At 39.9% G+C, this 21,560-nt stretch overlaps 2 long non-coding RNA genes across 2 annotated transcripts, besides 1 other annotated feature; one reads left to right on the top strand and one right to left on the bottom strand.

Annotated features, from left to right (window-relative positions):
* Positions 1 to 558: 558 nt before the first annotated feature.
* LOC124902397 (uncharacterized) lies at positions 559 to 6,881 on the bottom strand. Its single transcript, XR_007062092.1, has 2 exons — positions 6,809 to 6,881; positions 559 to 1,214 (listed from the first exon to the last, which is right to left on the bottom strand). It is a non-coding gene; the product is annotated as an uncharacterized LOC124902397 (long non-coding RNA).
* Positions 847 to 956: an enhancer, noted in NCBI's record as "active region_3163". NCBI's record gives its function as "activates an Ori minimal core promoter by ATAC-STARR-seq in GM12878 lymphoblastoid cells {active_cell/tissue: GM12878}" and the evidence as "EXISTENCE:reporter gene assay evidence [ECO:0000049][PMID:35858748]".
* On the top strand, positions 5,121 to 19,780 carry LOC124902396 (uncharacterized). Its single transcript, XR_007062091.1, has 5 exons — positions 5,121 to 5,363; positions 9,065 to 9,214; positions 12,252 to 12,342; positions 18,253 to 18,514; positions 19,415 to 19,780. It is a non-coding gene; the product is annotated as an uncharacterized LOC124902396 (long non-coding RNA).
* The last annotated feature ends 1,780 nt before the right edge of the window (positions 19,781 to 21,560 follow it).

The raw sequence follows: 21,560 nt of genomic DNA, 5'->3' as shown, positions 1-21,560 counted from the left end.
TCTTTTCGGACTCACCCCACCCACACCCAGGTGATTAAAAGCTTTATTGCTCACACAAAGCCTGTTTAGTGGTCTCTTCACATGGACGCGAGTGAAAGTTATCATCTATCTGCTGAGATTTTAATGAAAGCAGCCTGACTCCAAAGTTGACACAGTTTCTGTACATACTGAATTTAAGCCTTTTGAGCTGTTAAATGTTTTTACTGTTTTTATGACACTTTCAAGTATTTCTCTGGAGAGAAACATTTCCTTCACACCGCCATATGGCAGTTTCAGTTCATACTTCTTTACCACCTGCTGCAGGACTAGATCAGTCTACAAATACTGTATTTTGTATCAACAGAAGCCTCCTAGCTGATTTCAAATATGCTGAAGCCGAGCCTAGAATAGAGCATGATGAATTGTCAACTCCATGGTGTATGATGTTGTTCTAGAGGATTTCTATATGCAGTTTCTATTAATGAAAAACGCAGTTAGATGAATTTTTTTTTCTAATCGTGAACAGATCCTTTTGATTCAAGAATATGAATGATTCTACGTCTGCCAGGAAACTGAATATTTGGATTTGTGGATTACTGACCCTTCTTTATTGCAATCTGAGCCCTGCCAGATTGAGTAAGGAAGGGAGTGGGTAAGGAAGGGGGTTTCTTGTGGGTAAAGTACAGGTCATGGATAAGGAAAGGGTTCTTTTGTGGGTGAGTGAGGAAGGGGATAAGGAAGGGAGTCTTTTGTGGGAAAAGTACAGGTGATGGGGACCAGCTTCCAGTAGAACTGGTCTGTCCACCTCGGGTTGCCCAGGTTTCCCTGCACCAGCAGAGGTGTGGCCCAAGCAGGGCATGGGTCTCCAGGTGCCAGCTACTATCTCTGGGGGCTCCATGCACCATCTCTGAGCTTCACACCAAACTGCAGAGGAAGAAACTGAGGCCAACAGCCAAAGTCTGTGCTCTCACCTCTCCATCGCGCTGGTGCTCACCTTTAGGGTACTCCAGGGTTAAAGCTACATTTCAGCAAAGCCACAGAGATCAGGTGCAGAGTCACAGCTGAGGGTCTGTCCCTTGGGCAAAATGGTTGGTTTTCAGTCTTACTGTAATACTTTCTTTACCATGATGATTTCTATCATATATCCACCAATGTTTCACTTCCTCGGAGACGTCTTCTGCAGGGGTGAAGGGAAAGTGTCCCCTTTGCTCTTGGAAGGTTTGCTGAAAAATCAACTAACAAGAAGATTAATAAGAGAAAAGGCATGCAGATTTATTACTACCATGTACACAGGGAGAATCACAGAGTGACTGCCTAATGTCCCAGTGGGATACAGCCTCTTACATACCCTACTTCTTAGGGAAAAGTGTGGATCATTTTATGGAGATAGTAAATAATTTTTAGGGGAATTCAGTGGGCTTGAAGAACATACAATGGTTTAGGGCAAAGTCTGTTGGGCCCTCAGAGCGGATAAAGGTTGTGACAAAAATTTATCCAGGTTTGTTGTCAGACTTTAGTCTTCCTTCCTGTGATATGGGTTCAGCAAATGAAAACTTAAGAGAAAGGACCTGAGGTTATTGTTTTCTTCTCTGTTAGGTCTAGATTTTAGGTAGATAAGACAACTTTATCTGTGCTTTGGGATAGGGAGAGGATTTGGGGGTGTGGGGGTTGAGATGGATTGTTCTCCATTGTTCTTGGTGGGTCTGTCTGATCTTTAATTCAAAACACTCAGTATACCATATACCATATTTTCAGGTGAAGTTCCCTGTGCTCTTTCATTCTTTAATCAACAGTTTTTTCTTATTCCTCTTCATATCACTTTATGTTAATTGCTATTGCAATTTCAATGTTTTTTTTACAAATGAATGGTCATTATAGGAAATTGAGACATAATGCCAAAACAAAAATGAAAATGAATCACCTATATTCACACTACCAAGATATAACCTTGGTTGAAGTGCATATTTCCTTTTAGGTTGTAAAAGTATTTTCAGAATCACATTAATTTTTTAAATACTATTTTACTTTACTCTCATTTTAAAACAATAGAACACCAAGAGAATCTTCCCATGTTGTTACCTATTTGTCAAAACAAAAACACTTAAAAATATTTATAATATTCTAGGATATGGCTATGGCATAATAATTTCCCTGTTGCTTGACATTTAAATTTGTGCAAGGGAAGATTAAACTGTGGTAACAGATATACCAAAAATATATTATGATACAAACACAATATTTAGATGTACCTAACTAGCAGAAGGGAAAAGAGAATTTGGAACAGATACACTTGTTCTTTGGTTAAGGTTATTATTATTTTGAAACAATCTCAAACTTATAAAGAATTGCAAGAATGTTTTTATTCATGAAACATTTGAGACTAAGCTGCCTACAGGAGGCCTCGCCACCTCTGAATGCTTTAGTGCATCTCCTATAAACAAAGATATTCTTCTACATAATTACAATACCACCATGGAAAATTGGTGGAAGTTAACATGCTACATCATCGTTATCTAATCTTTGGACCCCATTCCAGTTTCACCAGTAGTCCCAACAATGTATTTTAGTAAAATGATTAATTGAGAATCGCATTACATATTATTGTCACGTCTCTTTGGTGTCCACAAATCTAGAGCAGTTCCTCAGTATTTCCTTGATTTTCACAGCCTTGGTACTTTTGAAGATTACACATCAATTATTTTTTGGGATGTCCTTCATGAGTTTCTTTGAGGTTTCCTCATGATTAAATTCAGGTTATGCACCTTTGTCAGGGATATCACAGAGGGCAGGCTCTAGTCTTCTCATCATCTCTTACCAGGCAGAACACTACCTAGATTTGTCCTATTACTAGTGATTGGCACATTAAACATTTGATTAAGGTGATATCTGTCAGGATCCTTCACTGTAAAGTTTATCTTTTCCCTTTTGTCTTTAGTGAGTATAGTATTGAGATGGAGGAGTGATGCCTCTCAGGGGCCCGCCAGCCCAACGCCCCATCCCCCACAAGCATGGAAAGAAAGGGAAATCTTGAGTTATTTCAAAGGAAATTCCAGGCACCTAGCTAGCCTGGAGAAGTAAATGAGCAATTTGATAAGCAAGAAGGTAATAGTAGCTTAAAACAACAGACAAGGAAGTTAGAGTCACAAGATGTTTGGTTTCCTATAGAAACAAAAGATAACAGCTTAACATATATCCCCGAGTTGTTTTTCAGAAACCCCATTTCCCATGAGATGGAAAATGCCATCCACTGGCACATAGAGGGAACCGAGGATTGAACTGTGACCACCTTTCTTTCTTCTAAATTTCTTCCTGAGGGGCCTGGAGGGGGTAAAACCCACGGGCCACAGCTAACATTATTTTCTGCTGACCTCAAATTTTTAGACAAATCTTTTTGTCCTTAACCAATCACAAGTCAGAAAATCTTTGAATCCACCCAGGACCTGTAGGCCCCCGCTTCAAAATGTCCGTTTTTCTTTTTTTTTAAGTCGAATCAATATATAACCTCCATGTATAGATTTATGAGTTTGCCTGGAACCCCTGCCTCACTGCCTTTAAAAACCCTTACATGTAACTCATTGGGGAGTTCAGGTCTTAAGCATGAGCGCCCTGCAATAAATGCCTCACTTTTCTCTTGCTGCAAATCCTGATATTAGCGTTTGGCTTTGTTTCATTGGGTGGGCAGACCTAAGTTTGGTTCAGTAACGGTGTTTTGAAGGAAAGGATTTTGAAGCTGTGTTATCCTACTGAAGCAGCATCATTCGTCTTTATCTGGGGTAAATACCCCAGGTTTGTCATCTCAGGCCAGGGAAATCGAGGACTCAGACACACAAGAAGTGAGTTTAAGAGAGGAGCCACTGCACTCCAGCCTGGGCAACAGAGCAAGATTCTGTCTCAAAAAAAAAAGAAAAAGAAAAAGAGTAGAGGTTTAATAGCTGAAAGAAAAACAGAATCGCTTGCGGGAGAGGGAAGGGTGGAGGTTTTATAGACTAGCTTGAGGAGGCTGTGTCTGATTTACACAGGGTCCAAAGATTGGTTGGACCAGATGTGCCATTTACATAGCACGTGAAGAAGCTGGCCACCCCACCCTAATCTTTTATTTTGCAGATCAGTTCTCTACCTGTCCAGGGCCATGTTGTCTGTTCCTTATTGTACACGTGGTTGACGAAAGAAAGGGAAGATGGAGCCGCCATGTTACACATGCCTGGCCCCCAGGTAGCCTTTCCCTGTTCGCACAGCTGCCAGCATTCACCTGTGCAAGCTTCGAGCTTGCTTATCTATGCTTGCAGCTCTATTTTGCAGGCTGCTTTTTTTTGATAGAAAAGAAATGATTTGGAGGCTGCTTTTTATTAAAAAGAAAGCAGTACTGTGGGCTGTCTTACCCTCACTATCTGCCTAAATAATTTCTTCTTAACTCCTATATCACTACATTATCCTACTTTCCCTCAAAATTTTAATTATTCATTATTAATTTATATCAATATAGACTCATGGATACCTAATTGATTCGATAGGGTATAATCTATTATTATCATTTATATTTATGTTCAAATAATCCCAGACTTGGCCAGTGGAAGTTCCTATATCATTTGGACGTATCTTCATATTCTTTAAGCTCTTATTTTCTGGCACAATGAGATGTTCTAGACCCATCTTGTACTTTCTTACCCCAGCCCTCGAATCTGCCATTTTTCCAAAGAGTCCTAGTTTCTTTTAGTGGATACTGGTTTATGTAAACCTGTCATCATTTAAACATTTATAGTGTCTTCCATTATGTTTATATCAGAAAGTCCTTGCCCCACTAAACTAATTATTTATTTCACATTTTCTTCTAGTTTTCTACCGGCTTCCTTTATTATGTTTAGTTCCTCATTTGGAATTTAATTGGGGCATGTTATAAGCTGAAGCTCTTGTTTATTGTTTCAAGTAATTAGCCAATTTCCCATATAATTTATGAAATAAATGCATCCCTTCCCTATGTACATTCTATTTTCAAATAAATTTCAGGGCTGTTCATTCTGTCTGCTGATTACTTTGCCACAGCCATGCAGTTTTCATTATTGTAGCATTCTATTACATCATAATGTCTGTTAGGGTAATTTCCCAACACAAAAAATCTTACATGTCAATGGACTAGTATTTTCTGCTGCCAGAACACTTGGAAGAATGGTCCAATGACCTAGGAAACTATTTGGAGTTTGAGGATTTTGTGTCATTTCCCAAATGTTGTTACGTATGAATCTGTTTCTTTTGCGTGCCCTGGATTTTTAAGAGGGAAGAATATATGTTGTACACAATATACTGGCAGGATACAGACATGCTGGTGGCTTCTTACTGATGAGACAGTTCATCAGAGCATCTGCAGGAGAGTGTAACTAACCAGGAAGGTAGATTTTGATTCTTCCATACAAAGAGAATCGCTCAGTTGTATTTCAACAACTTTCTTACCCCCTTGTTTCCTAATTATCAGGTGTCATTTGTGCAGAACAATTTGCACTTCAAAGCAAAGCTAGGGAACCACCCCAGACAGCATAGAATTAAAATCTAAATTAACCTAAGAATCAAACCACAAAAACATGAAAACAAAGCATTAGAAAATAAACAGGTTTTCATTTTCATACTATAAAATCCAGAAAATTTATTTCATTGTATCCTAATCTGGTTATCACTGTGCCTCATTTATTCCTCCTGGTGACTGAGATAACTGTGCTCATTTGGAGGAGTGATGTTTTAGTTGGGTGTATGGTAGGCAGCAATAAGGCAGCAAAGCAACTCTACACCTTTGTCTTTATTGGTATTCCACAGGCAGGGCTGCTAGTGTGTCCTTAATTTCTTGCTTCACTGATTTACAAATGGTAACTGTATAGCTGGGAATGAACACAGTGGTAGACTAAGGAGGGAAAAAAAAAGCCCCTAATCTCTTAAATGGCCAGCAGGCAAGTGTCCAGACGGCATTGTTATCTGAAACAGCAGATCGACAATGGAAACATTGATGTTGCATGATAACGAATCACAAAGCTAGATGAGGCTACTAGGTCATTGGTGCTTAAATGTTTCATATTGTTTTCAAAGGTGCAACTTTTATTACTCAATTCTGCAATGGCACGTTTGCATAGAAAATACTAAGTAGCTTTTAGATACTATTACTTTAAGCATGACCAAATAGAAAAGGCCTTAAAGAGAAACAGTGACATCAATATTTCGGATAGAAAGAGATCTTCCTAGATGTCTGCATATTCACATTACACAACTAAGTCTATTTTTTCTTTTTGTTTAAAAAATAGTCACATTTATATAGCACTTAGGGCTTATAGAAGTTTTCATATATATTACCTGTTTTTTTTAAACACACACACATTTAATGAGGCCTTGTTCAGCACCACACACCGTACGGAGAACACATAAGCATTATCTCATCAAATCCTTACAAGAGCTCCACAGGGTGACTTTCAGGGTAGCCTTTTTACATAGATGGAAGAACAGAGGTTAAAGAGCTTAGGTAATTTCCCCATGGTTACTCTCCGCTTCTAGCGAGTGCTAAGAAAAGAGACAGCTCTTCCTTCTGCATTTGGTTATCCTGGTACAACATCTGAGTATTTCCAAGGATATTTTGGGAGCGTTTCTTGATAAGCTGATTTTTCCAGTATTAGATATCCTTTTATGTCTCCTTCTGTATTTTTCCTCCCCATCTTCCAATCTCTTATGGAAGCAACCACAAAGGGAAGGTTAGTTTGAACACACAGAGGGAGTACCCATTATCTCAATCAATTGAAAGGTTGAGAAGATGAGACAAAATTCAGACTATCGGGGTCTGACAAAGTATCTAAAGTACCTTAGATTCTGAGGGATGCAGACTAATGAAGTTCTCCTCTAGTAGCATTGGGGTGTAAAGTCATACATCTTGCTTTTGCCAGGTAAAATAAGACAATTCATTCTTTTAAACAATTAATTGATTAATTAATTGTGACAGAGTCTGCTCTGTCACCCAGGCTGGAGTGTAGGGGCACGATCTCAGCTCACTGCAATCTCTGCCTCCTGGGTTCAAGAGATTCTTGTGCCTCAGCCTCCTGAGTAGCTGGGATTACAGGTATGCACCACCATGCCTAGCTAATTTTTATATTTTTAATAGAAACAGGATTTTACCATGTTGGCCAGGATGGTTTCAAACTTCTGGCCTCAGGTGATCCTCCCACCTTGGCCTCCCAAACTGCTGGGATTACAGGTGTGAGCCACTGTGCCTGGCTGGGAATTTCATTCTACCCTTTCACACCAGGAATTTAAGAAAGGAAAAGTCATTTTATTCCTCCTCCTCTTGATCTGTAGTCCTTAAAGCTCAGGCCCGAGTTTGAATCTTTAATCCTGGATACAGCCTTTATAGAGATGGGACTTAGGGAAGTTACTTACCTTTCCTGAACTTAAATTTTCTTGGTGTTACATTGGGGATCTAATAACAGTGATTTCTTTATGGTGTTGTAAAGAGAACTAAACTAGATTGTATCCAGGCACAATAGACACAGGTAATTTTAGCTATTGTTGTTATTTAAAGAGAAGAATTGTGAAATTTTTGAGTGATTCTTAGTTTCAGATACCAGATGCTGCTACCAACTTTGGTTTTTACCCTCCATGACCTCTCCTTCCCCACCACTACCACATGGGCAGCCCTAGACATGGACACAGACTGAAGATCATATCTGGGGGAGCTCTGAGACCCTTCTTGCATTGTATGCAGCTTGGCTGTGTACAAAGTGGTTCTCCAGGGCTCACAACAGCATCTCTTTCCCTTGCTTCTGGTACCTGGCCTGTATCTTTGGTTGTTTAGTGGATAATTCTTGGATGTTTCAAATTCACCTTGAATTTACCATCATAAATCCATCTCAGCACATTTTTCCCCTTCCTGCAAATTGCCCTACTCCCTGATTTTCCTATCCTCATTCTTCTAACCTTTACAATACCTTTTATTATATTTTTTTAGAGAGATGAGGTGTCGCTATATTGCCTAAGCTAGTTTTGAACTCCTGGCCTCAAGCAGACTTCCTGCCTCAGCTCTCTGAGTAGCTGAGATTACAGATGGGTGTACTTCAGAATTATTTCAATTCCTTCCTTTTGCTTAAATATGACAGTTACCAAAACAGAAGTGTTACCTCTGTTGATGGTAGCCTCACCTGGTACCTCTATTTTCAACGCTTTGTAAAGTTTATACTTACTTGTAGGTTTGTTTGTTTGTTTGTTAAATCACTATGGTTGTAGTGTAGGAATGTTCTTTCCCTGTAAGGCTATGAGCCCCATGAAGTCTGGATCACATCTGGTTTCTCAGTGACAGTATTCCTAGTACCTAGCACAATCTCTGGTAATGACTGGCACCCAACAAATACTGGTTGACTATTGATCTGTTCTGTGTGATACTTTCTTTTTGCTCCACTTCTATCTCACTGTTGCCAATGACACCTTCCCTAGTGAAAACATCAACGCCTCTCACTTGGACTTTGAAAGACCTTTTACTGTACGAATATTTGGGCCATCAGACACAGATTGAATCCTGGTTCTGCCACTTACCAGCTATGTAATCTTGGGAAATTTTTTGAGCCTCAATATTTCCATTTCTAAAGTAAAAATGATAAAATGTACCAATAGGATTGGAAGGTTACATCAATTAATCTATTTAAAGTGCTTTGGACGTGCCTAGCACATAGTAAATTCTCAAGGCATGTTGGCTTAGAAGGAAATGCACAACGAGGAACATAAAGGACAACTTTCTCCCTGATTTGTAACATGTATTAGATTACCTGCTCTGGAACTCTATTCCCTTTAAATCTCCTTTAAATCTAAATGTCTGAATTTTATTCCCTCAGGCCTTTACTTTCTCTGTTGGAAACTAATGGCTAATCTGGTAAACTAATACATGCTAATGACTGATCTCTTAGGGGCTTAGTATGTCACCTCTCTGGTAGCATATTTCACATTAACAGATCCTCTAAAAGACTCCCTAAAAGTTATTCTAAAGATAAGACATTTGAGCACATGGCAGGAAGGCTGGTGGTTTCATCTCCTGCCAGGGTTCTCATGCAGTATCGTCTTTTTCTTCCCATAGCTCTGCTTCTGGACTCCTTCTACTGGACTCAGCTTCACAAAAGCCTAAAAGGTCAAATCAACCTTTACAGGGGATGGAAGGACGAGTTCTTGCCCGACACTCTGAGACCCTGAATGGATCCTTCTGTGGCTGATTCAACTCAAATCTGAGGTTTTCTGCCTTGTCCCTGTTGTAGTACCATCGTCCTTCTAGATATATGGAATGCATTCCTCTTTCTAGTCTTGTTTCAAGAGACTGGCTCTCTTGCTCTGAATCCTAGAGTCCTTGCCGGTTTCTTGCTGTGATAGATTTTCCTGCATGCAAGCTCTCTCTGCTTACCTGATCCTAAATAGCATCCACTTTGGAATTACATGTGCTTCTTTTCTGTTAGCTGTGTAGAATCCCCCTTCCCCACCACAGGGTGCCTTATGTCTGTTTTCCTAGGCTCTGGATTCCCAGCTCTCTCTGCTTGACTGACATCCCTCCTAGAACCTGTATCTGCAGCGTTTGTCCAATCCAGGAAATTATGTCTAGAAAACAGCACCTTCCAGCCTGCCTTCTTCACCTGGTGGAATTAACTGATCTCTCTTAGGTGTGATCCCAAGATAAGAGAGATGGAGAAGAGATGTTGTGCAAGCCAGTCTTTTTGCTACTGATCGAATCATTCTGTGCACAGTTATTTCTTCTACATGAGAGCTAACATCTTCAATTCCTTGAGCTAGGCAAAACTAGAGAGCTGGTTAAAAGCACTTTGAGTGGTCAACAAAACACAAACAAAAACAAAAACAAAAGCACAACCACAAAAGAATTCTGTATGAAACATTATAATTTACCCTAAATTACCATAATTGTATTTATTATTAAAATATCTTTAATATGATTATAAAAGTTACTGCAGTTGATACAGACAGGAAGCAAGGAAATACTGGGTAGAAGAGGGTGGTTGCCTGGCAAATAACCCATCCTCAAGCCTGGAAACCTGCAGCCCTAAATGGGAACAGGCATTCCTGTTTTTGAACCCAAATTTTGCCTTTTTGGCCCACCATACCCCTGTATCCTGTACTCACATAAACCCCAAACAACAGGCTCCACCAGCAGATGAGGAGAAAAGCAGATGAGCAAAAGAGCAGAGGAACAGAAAAGTGGCATGGCAGAGCAGGAGAGAAGAGAAGGAGCATCTGAACATTGAGAGGAGTTCAGCTGAGGATGGTTGTAGAGGAGAGAAGATAAGGAGCATCTGAACATTGAGAGGAGTTCAGCTGAGGATGGTTGTAGAGGAGAGAAGATAAGGAGCATCTGAACATTGAGAGGAGTTCAGCTGAGGATGGTTATAGAGGAGTTCAGCTGTGGGATGGACAAACTCCAGGGGAAGAGCATCTGAACGTTGATAGGAGTTCAGCTGGGGATGGTTGGAGAGGAGTTCGGCTGTGGGATGGCCATACTCCAGGGGAAGAGCATCTTCCCACTCCATCCCCTTTCCAGCTCCCCATCCATCCTGCCAAAGCCACCTCCACCACTCAGTAAAATCCCTGCATTCACCATCCTTCAAGTCCATATGTGACCTGATTTTTCCTGGATGCCAGACAAGGACCCGAGTACCAAGAGGGCACTGAACTGGTTAACACTTAAAGTTTGCAGATGGCAGAGCTAAAGGAGCACAGTAACAGATCCACTGGGGCTTTGGGAGTCACAGACACCCATCCCTAGATGCTACCATGGTGCTAGAGCCCAAAAGTGTGCACCTCAGCTCCTGCATCTGCCCGTCTGCCTGCTCCCCCTCTTGTAAGGGGTTTGAGAGTGTGGTGGCCAAACAGATGAGCCACACCCTGTTGCGTGTTCTGTGATGGAGGTCAGGGAATTCTCCCATTTCACAGTCTATCTGGCATGAAGTAGTTTTACTTACAGCAGGATTTGGGAATCCTAGTCACATGGCATTCCTCTTCAGGCCTATTATAAAATTATCTGTAAAGCTCTCAAAAGTAGTAACCTATTCCTTAATGTTAAAAAGCAAATATTTAATAGCACATTTATTATGAGATGTGATATATTTACATAATCGTAACTTTAAAGTGATAAATAATAATCGTTTTCCAAAGACTGTGAACTATTGGAGTTTGTTTATGGAAGCCTGGTCTCTTTTATAGCAGAGGATTAATGACTTATAGATCATATACCACATTTAGGAGGTATCTGGAATTCTTCAGGAATTTTTCTACTAACTCAGTATGACACCTGGGACAAGGGAAATGAGTTGCATGAGGCCTCAGTTGCTTCAGATGATTGACAGGAAGGATTTCAGAACTGTATCATAAGAAGGGGAAACCCAAGCAGAATGTCACAGTGTCCCTGAGTTGAGTTGTCAGAGATTGGAGTACATGGAGGTTGAAAAGGCTAGAATTTTCCAGAAAAGGTCCTGGAGTGGAGGGAGCTACCCAGAAAAAAAGAAAAAAAAAAAGCCCTTTAGGATGAAATTTCCAGGGAGTTGTAAACTGAACATTTCCAAGCAGCTGAGTCCTGACTAGCCAAAGTGAGAATGCTCATTGTTGAACACACAGAGTACACAAAGGGCCATACCTTAGTAAGAGGACAAACTAGCTCTAGAGCAAAGGCTATTCTAGACCTGCCTCAATAATCTTTCTTTACTCTTAGATTCTGATTTTCATCAGAGTGGCAATATACTCAGTCACAGACCTATCTTTTTTTCTTTCTTTCTTTCTTTTTTTGGAGATGAGTCTCACCCTGTCACCCAGACTAGGGTGCAGTGGTGCGATCTTGTCTTACTGCAACCTCTATCTCCTGGGTTCAAGTGATTCTCCTGCCCCAGCCTCCTGAGTAGTTGGGATTACAGGTGCATGCCACCATGCCTGGCAAAGTTTTTTGTATCTTTAGTAGAGACGGGGTTTCACCATGTTGGCCAGGCTGGCCTCGAACACCTGACCTCATGATCCACCTGCCTCGGCTTCCCAAAGTGCTGGGATTACAGGCATGAGCCATTGCGCCTGGCCCTTTTTTTTTTTTTAATCAGCTTTCTTTGCTACTCAGTTTGTTCATACAAAAGTTTTAGGTAACTGCAGTGTCTAAAATCACTGTGAGGGCTTTCTGAAAAAGTTCTTTAAAGGGGAGCAACTCACCTGGCTTATATCTTTTTCTCATTTGTCTTCTTCTTCTTGCTTACTGGAATCCAAAATTGATGTTGGATCAAGTGCAGCCCTCTTGTCACCATGAAGTAATAAGCTTGATAAGGCACTCACTGAGGATGACTAAGAAGAAATTCAAGAGGAAATCATTGTCTCTTGAAGGTATTGTAGAACCACTGTACTGGTCCTTAACTGCCTACTTTTAGGTTCCTTGTTAAGTAAATTGTTGAGAAAAGCTAGTCTCACACTCCTGGCCTCAAGTGATCCTTCAGCCTCAGCCTCCCAAAGTGCTGGGATTTCAGGTGTGAGACACTGCACCTGGCCTCAAGGTGTTTTTTAATTCTGAAGAAATAATCTTATGTAAATTTTCATTGTAATCCCCTCAATTTAGAGGCTAATTTAGGCTTCGGAACCAGACTACCTGGATTTGAAACCTGATTATACCAGTACTAGTTATATAACTTTTAGCAAGTATGAATGTCTCTGTGTATTAGTTTCTCATTAGTAAAATGGAGATAATTGGTAAAATAGAGTCACTGTGAGGATTAAATGATTTAATATCTACAAAGTATTGAAAACAGAACCAGGCACATAGAAAGTGATTAGGAAGTGTTAGCTATTATTATTATTTTGAGATGGAGTCTCACTCTGTTGCCCACACTGGAGTGCAGTGGCACGATCTTGGCTCACGGCAAGCTCCACCTCCAGGGTTCACGCTATTATTATTTTAAATAGATATATTTGAAAAGTATTGACTCTCATATTGAGCCTTATTATCCACAAACAAATGTGCTTTTCCTAATATTTAAATTTTCTTTTACAAGACTGAAGATTTTAAACATTTTCTTTCTTAAAGACTTAAAGGTTTCCTTTTTTTAGATACTCTCCCATTTAAATGCAAATGATTATATTTCAATAAAAATACATTTGTTCTTTCTATCTACAAATCAAATACTTTCTGGACATAAAAAGATAGCAATGTATGTTGACAAATGGAATAATTATGTTATCCCACTTCAATACACGTTTAAAACATAATTAGATATTGAGGTAAAAGAGAACACGATAAATCAGTAATCAACCTTTTAGTTTTGACAGTTGGAGATATTTTTAGCAATCTCAGTGATTTATATTTTCAAATGATTTTGTTGCATAGCACTTTTTAAGCACAAAGTATCATTTTCTGGAAAGAAATGTAATGAAGAAAAACGGTGAATTTTATTAAACTTGGTTACATTGGCTGCTTTTGTCCAATAAACAAACATAATCCAAATGGAAACATGTATGTATGCCAAGGGAAAGATACTATTAATAAAGATTGCATCCAAATGTCAAAACCAAGTAGAATTGGTAGTTTTGTAAATGTGCTCCAAAATCCAAATGTCATAAACCTTCAAGTGACCTTTGTGTTCCAAGCCATAACCAAATGGCCAAATCTGGCTTGTGTTACCATGGAGACACACTCTGATGGAAAGACCTGTGATGAGGTTGAGCAGCGTGAATGATTAGGGGGCAGTGTTGTCATAAATAAGGATTCGCCTCAGCGTAGCACTCCCTGCACGAGATTAAGGGTGTGTGTGCTGCGTAGATAGCATTGTTTAAGAAAATACTTGATAGCAGCTAATGTCTATAAGTAATGAGCAAAGAAGAAATATTCTAATATTTTAATATTCTTCTTGGGGTTCTTCATATGAAAATGCCGGGGGGAGGGGTGACAAAGATGTCAATTCAATTTAAGGACAAAAGTTAATCACCAGCGTAATTTATTTTCTTATGCTTCACTATGCTTTTCAACAAATATTTGATGTTATAAAAAATACTACATAATACAATAAATAAACAATGATCATAGAACTGTTCAGTCCAAGCACACTATATAGAAGAATTTTCTGTTATTGATAGGAGCTGGTCATAAATTCAAATTAATTCAATTTTAGTCACAAATGTTTCGCCCGCTATAAGGATGGCATTGTTATGTGCAATGGGAATCCAAAGAGAGGAAAGATAACATACTCTGTTCTCAAGAGGTAATAAGTTCACAAATATTTAATTCTTTTTTTTTTTTTTTTTGAGATGGGGTCTCACTTTGTCACTCAGGCTGGAGTCCAGTGCTGTGATCTCGGCTCACTGCAACCTCCACCTCCCAGGCTCAAGCGATCCTCCAACCTCAACCTCCTGAGTAGCTGAGACACAGGTGCACGCCACCACAGCCAGCTTTTTTTTTTTGTACTTTAGTTAGAGATGGGGTTTTGCCATGTTTCCCGGGCTTGTCTTGAACTCCTGAGCTCAAGTGATTCTCTCACCTTGGCCTCCCAAAGTGTTGGGATTACAGGTGTGAGCCCCTGTGCCTGGCCCGCAAATATTAAATTCTTATTTATGCTACAACTTGCTCATAACAGAGATTCAAATTTAGGACCATAAGAATTGAGTGGAGGAAAATATTAACATTTAAATGTGAGGAAAAGCTAAACCTTCAAGGAACAGAAAGCGCTTAAGATAAACAAAGAATAATACAAGAAATATGTAGCAAGCGTCTCACTAGAATAAGCAAGGCTTGGAGGAAGAAAAGCAAAGCATATGTGCCCATAGGGTCATTATTAGACGAATGTGGCTGGTACAGAGTAAAAAAGAACATAGAGGGAAATAAGAATGGGTCAAAATGACAGTCTAAGTACATATGCTTCCATCACCACAATTATCCCATGATAATTATGGGATAATGTTAGAACAAAGCAAAAAAAAAAAAAATCCGTAATCGTATGGGAAAAAAAAAGTCTAATCAATGCACCAGAAATTTTGAAGAATCCTTGGTATAAAATCAATCAGGAGCAGCTCTATGGAGAAAAGTAAAAGGGGGAAATCTTAGCTCGTTAAACATGCTGTCCAGCCAGGATATGTTCCAGGGAGCTCCAGCCCCAGAGACAAAAAGCCCAAGGAACAGGAGAGAGCGTTATGGCAGTCTTCAGGATAATTATTGGACAATTGCATCTTGAACTGCAAGATGAATGCAGTTCATCTTGCACTCAACACAGACAACAGAGCCATTTGCTCACAACCTGTGGGGGCTGAGCTCCAAGTACAGGTAGGGCCTTAGAAAGGTACCAACATAGGGCAGAGACAGGCAGCCTAAGCAAGCTACACCTGGAGGGAGGCAAAAGTGTGCAAATGTTCTTGCCCTGTACGTTGAGATCACAATAATACTGTAAATTTTGAAGATAAAATATATGTTAGAAAAGTATGTATGCTAGGAAACTAAAGATTCATCTTAGCATACATCTTTTTTGGTCACAAAGGTAAGGATTTAGAAGGAACAACTTCCCAACAGAGGAAAGATAAATAGAACAAACAATGATCCATCAATGTAGCAAAAGGCAGAAAAGGAAACAAAAAGGAAACCAGAAAGTATGGAAAAAGAAAACATACAATAAAATGACATTAATATGTCTAAACGTATCAGTGATAACAGTAGCATTAATTGATTGATAAGCTTTGCTAATAAAACACAGAGGTATTCCGATATGTAAGTAGAGTCTAGCTATAGGTTTCATTCAAGAGACACACCAGAAAATGTGACCAAAAATATACAATGAAAAGGGGTGGATACAATATATCAGATAAACACTAACAGAAAGGCAAAAGTAGCAATAATAACCCTGTACCAGACATCATTCAACGTAAAATATATTATATGGGACAAACATTGATTTCTTTAATGGGGGAAAGCCAGTCAAGAATATATCCACTATAAATATGTAACTAACAACACACAAATAAGGCAAAAATTAATATAAAAAATAGACACATCCACAATTATGTTGGGAAACTTATGACATGTTTCAAGAAATGACAAAATAAAGAAAGGAAAAATGAAATAAGACTATAGAGAACTTGAGTAACGCAATTAACAAGATTTATCTTTTAGATCTAAATAGAATTTTAAACCAATATATAAGAAATATTTTTTTCAGACACATAGAACATTAAAAAACAAAGTGAAATAGGCCACACATAAAATTGCAGTAAGTTCCTAAAAATAAATTTCCTACAGACTCATAATAGACTATAATTCAATGCTATTAATAACAAAAAGATAATTAGGCAAGAAGATATGCACAAGAGGAAAAGATGAGAATTTTTAATGGCTGAAGAATAAATAAGGATGAGAAAATACATATCAACCCTTGAGATAATAAGAATAAAAGAAAATTTAGTGAACACAGAACAAATACAAATCAGTATATTTATTCAATTAAAGAATACAACATTTTGTAAAGCCTAATAAAAGCCTAATAAAATAGTCATAACTGATATACTTGATCAAGAATAAAAAAGGTAGTAAACAACCTAGTTCATTGCAGTTTTGGTAGAATGTGCCCAAGAGTTCTTATCATAAAAATATGGAAAACATCTCTATAATGGTATGGATTCCCCAGGGAAATGAAACTAACAGGATATATATAGTACTGAGATGGAATTGATTCATGAGACTGTGGAGGCTTGGGAAGACCAAAGTACGCAGTGTAGGCCGGCAGGGAAGAGTTTCTTTGGTATGAGTCCAAAAGAAGTCTGCTGACAGCCTTTCTTCTTCTTGGGGAGGTCAGTCTTTTACTATTAAATTTACTATTAAAGCTTCCAACTGATTGGATGGGGCCCACCCACATTATGGATGATAATCAGATTTACTCAGTGAACTGATTTAAATATTAGTTTCATCTTAAAAATACCTCCACAAAACATCTAGAATAACGTTTGATCAAATATCTGGTTATCTTGACCTACCTAAATTGACACATAAAATAACCCATCACAAATTTATCCTGTGTCAACTTGGCACCCATACGCAGCTCCTTAAACCATACTTACTTTCCAAATAAAGACAATAACAAGGTCATGCTTCCGCCTAAAATGATGCAACTGTGTACAACTGAAAATGCACTGACCCCTTCCCCAGAAGAGGATGCAAAATCCTTGGGTGATGTTTACTCTTCTCCTTGATAGCCTTTCTTATCTCCTTGACAACAAATACTATGATGTAAAGTTAGCATTTTAATACTATGAAATCAAGTCAATGAATCTTATATTGCGTAAGAAGAGAATAAGAAAAGGAAGAAAACAGGCCAGGCACAGTGGCTCAAGCCTGTAATCCCAGCACTTTGGGAGGCCGAGGAGGGCAGATCATGAGGTCAGGAGATCGAGACCATCCTACCTAACACGGTGAAACCCCATCTCTACTAAAAATACAAAAAATTAGCCGGGTGTGGTGGCGGGCACCTGTAGTCCCAGCTACTCAGGAGGCTGAGGCAGGAGAATGGCATGAACCTGGGAGGCAGAGCTTGCAGTGAGCCGAAATCACGCCACTGCACTCCAGACTGGGCGACAGAGCAAGACTCCATCTCAAAAAAAAAAAAAAAAAAGAAAAGGAAGAAAACAGATATTTGCAAACACACACACACAAGCACACACACAGAGTCACAAACACATTCATAACAAAATAAGGAAGAAATACTCTTGACAATTATAATGCTCATTTCTGTAACCGGTCGTGTTTATGTGGCTCGTATTTATAAATACCTTCTTCCACTACCCATTCTGTATTCCCTTTGCCTTTAGCTGTGCATTTGTTTTACCTGGTGGGGTAACCCAGGTCTTCATTCCTGAAGGATCTGGGCCATTAATAGTCCTGCCCGGATGGGGTTGCGGCTTTTCTTTAACTTTAATAACAGAGCTTGGTAATATTAAGAGATATGTTAAGCAGTCTCCTGTATTCCAGACACATTCTTCCTTACCTCTATTGTGGAGCAGCTGTCCAATTTCCCCTTGTAGTCTGGATCAATCAACCCACCCAGCACAGTAACTTCCTTGCTTGCCAGTAGATTCAGAGGCATCAGGTGGCAGTCTTAACTTGCAGTTCAGTATAATCATTGTTGTGTCTCCTGGTGGAACCATTCCTTCCTTTGGAACAAAGACTTTTAGGACAACAGAACATAAGTCTTTGGGAAAAGAAAGGAAACATTTTGCTGGTAAGTTGCTAGAGATAATTGTAAGTGATGCCCCTTTCATTTCCATCCCTAGATTCCTGGACCTGTGAATCTTGGTTATGGGAGGAAAAGCATCACATACTGGACTTTGATGAAGAGAATGCACAGCCTTCCAGAGAAGGCAATACCTTGCCCCAGCCCTGCAAGGTATTCCTACCCATCTGGAACTGTGATGGAGTCTTCAAAATGCCATTGCATTGTTCTACCAAGCCAGCGGCTTCAGGATGATGGCTAATATAGTAAGACCAGTAAAATCCACGACCAAGGGCCCATTGCTGCACTTCTTTCACTCTGAAGTGAGTTCCTTGTTCAGAATCAATCCTGTGCAGAATATCACGATGGTAGACATTCTGTGAGCTCATAGGTAGTAGTTTGGCAGAAGCACTACATACAGGAATTGCAAATTTGCATCCAGAGCAAGTGTCTATTCCATTGATAACAAAATGCTGTCCCTTCCATAATGAAAATGGTCCATTATAATCAACTTTCCACCCATCCGACTGATCACCCTGGGAATGCTGCCATATTGGGGACTTAAGTGTTAATCTCTGCCACAGGCAGACTGGGTACTCAGCAACTGTAGCCAGCTCAACCTTGGTGAGTGGAAGTCCATGCTGCTGAGTCCATGCATCCTCCTTCTCTGACCCCATCCCTGGCACCTCCATCCCTGGCACCACGGCCACTTTGTTCATGAGCCTACTGGGTGATGATAGGGGTGACTGGGGAAAGAGACTGGCTGGTATCTACAGAATAGGCCATCCTATCCAGTTGATTATTTAACTCCTCCTCTGCTGAGGTCAGCCTTTTTGAGCATTCACATGGGACACAAATACCTTATGTATTTGTCTGTTCTGAGAGGTTTATCCTCTGACCTCTTCCTATGACTTCCTTGTTACCAATTTTCTAATAATAATCCTTTCAATTCCCTAATTATCCTGCCTAACTATTGGCCACAGTCTGTGAATTGGTATGTAATCTCACATTTGGTAATTTCTCCTTCTAAGCAAATTGAACAACAGTTACACTGCTCAGAATTGTCCCCACTGGGTGGATTTCCCTTCACCCTTTCCTTCAGGAATGTCCTAGAGAGGGGCTACAGTGCTGCAGCTGTCCACTTCCTGGAAGTATCTGTATATCATGAAAAAACATTTTAAAATTAAGCCTGAAATCTTTCATGTTTTTTCAACTGATTGCAGGGAACTCTTCATGAGGCCATAGACACTGGCTGGGAGAAAGAAGGTGGGTAGCGAGAGTGAAGACGACGTTCGTGCCACTTTTTCATGTCATTTATGCACATGCCTTCAGGTCCTGATGAAGCCCAATCTTGAATATAACACCACTCCCATTCGATAATGGAATGTGGCTGTGCATGCCCAACATTATAGCATGTAAGAGACACACCTGAAAATAGGACCCCCAAAAGATAAAGAGATGGATAAAATGTATCAGTTGAGTCTGACAAAAAGAAAGGCAATTGTAGCAATAACACCAGAAAACACAAAATTCAATGTCAAATATATTATATGGGATACAAATGTAGGTTTCCCAATTCAGTGACAGCAGCTCCCACTATAAGTTCTTGCCTAGTGAGAGAGTGACCCCAGAACTCTTCAAGGTTGGTAGGGCTCTCCTCACACATTTATTTCTCACAGATATGGAAAAAAGTGTTCCAGGGTGGATGCGCAGATCTGAAATGATAAATTCACGCCAACTCTTCTTTCTCCATAAGCTTGTCAATCCCTTCCTCTAGAGTAACCAGGGTAGTTCTGGCATTTCAAGTTCGTTTACTGTGGGTAACCTTTTTGGTCCATGTTTCAGCCATCCAAGCAAACAAATGAGCTTCTTCTGACTCCCCAAACTGCAACATTAAATGAAGAATCTCTGCTTAGTGGTCCCATATCAATAAATTTGGCCTGATCCAATCTTATATTCTTCCACCATTATCCCACATCCTTAACGACCATTCCTACACGTATTTCCCAGATTTGGCTGTATAAATTGGAAAAATCAAGTAGTCCTTTTGGAGTATAGTATATCTCTTCATAGGTCACATCTTGTGCCTTACCTTCAGGGGCCTGCTAGGACTTGAGTCTAGTATAAGTCCAGAAGCAAAGAGGAACGGTGGGATTGTGGATTTGTAGGAAAAAGAAAGAGCGATCAGACTGTTACTGTGTCTATGTAGAAAGGGAAGACATAAGAGACTCCATTTTGAAAAAGACCTGTACTTTAAACAATTGCTTTGCTGAGATGTTGTTAATTTGTAGCTTTGCCCCAGCCACTTTGACCCAACCACTTTGATCCAACCTGGAGCTCACAAAAACATGTGTTGTATGAAATCAAGGTTTAAGGGATCTAGGGCTGTGCAGGACAGGCCTCGTTAACAAAATGTTTACAAGCAGTATACTTGGTAAAAGTCATCGTTATTCTCTAGTCTCAATAAACCAGGGGCACAATGCACTGTGGAAAGCCGCAAGGACCTCTGCCCTTGAAAGCTGGGTATTGTCCAAGGTTTCTCCCCATGTGATAGTCTGAAATACGGCCTCGTGGGATGAGAAAGACCTGACCGTCCCCCAGCCTGACACCCGTAAAGGGTCTGTGCTGAGGTGGATTAGTAAAAGAGGAAAGCCTCTTGCAGTTGAGATAGAGGAAGGCCACTGTCTCCTGCCTGCCTCTGGGAACTAAATGTCTTGGTATAAAACCCGATTGTACATTTGTTCAATTCTGAGATAGGAGAAAAACCGCCCTATGGTGGGAGGTGAGACATGTTTACAGCAATGCTGCCTTGTTATTCTTTACTCCACTGAGATGTTTGGGTGGAGAGAAACATAAATCTGGCCTACGTGCACATCCAGGCATAGTACCTTCCCTTAAACTTAATTATGACATAGATTCTATTGCTCACATGTTTGTTGCTGACCTTCTCATTATCACCCTGCCCTCCTACTACATTCCTTTTTGCTAAAATAATGAAAATAATAATCAATAAAAGCTGAGGGAACTCAGAGACCAGTGCTGGTGCAGGTCCTTGGTATGCTGAGCGCTGGTCCCCTGGGCCCACTGTTGTTTCTCTATACTTTGTCTCTGTGTCTTATTACTTTTCTCAGTCTCTCGTCCCACCTGACTAGAAATACCCGCAGGTGTGAAGGGGCAGGCCACCCCTTCATGTATTAGTTTGTTCTCACACTGCTATAAAGATACTACCTGAGACAGGGTAATTTTTGGAAGGAAAGAGGTTTAATTGACTCATAGTTCTGCATGGCTGGAGGGGCTTTAGGAAACTTACAATCATGGCAGAAGGTGAAAGGGAAGCAAGGTCCGTCTTCACAAGGTGACAGGAGAGAG

Source organism: Homo sapiens, chromosome 10, assembly GCF_000001405.40.
Source record: "Homo sapiens chromosome 10, GRCh38.p14 Primary Assembly".
NCBI classification, from domain to species: Eukaryota; Metazoa; Chordata; class Mammalia; order Primates; family Hominidae; genus Homo; species Homo sapiens.
The sequence above is the reverse complement of the archived record's forward strand: the minus strand, read 5'-3'. Positions and strand labels throughout refer to the sequence as shown.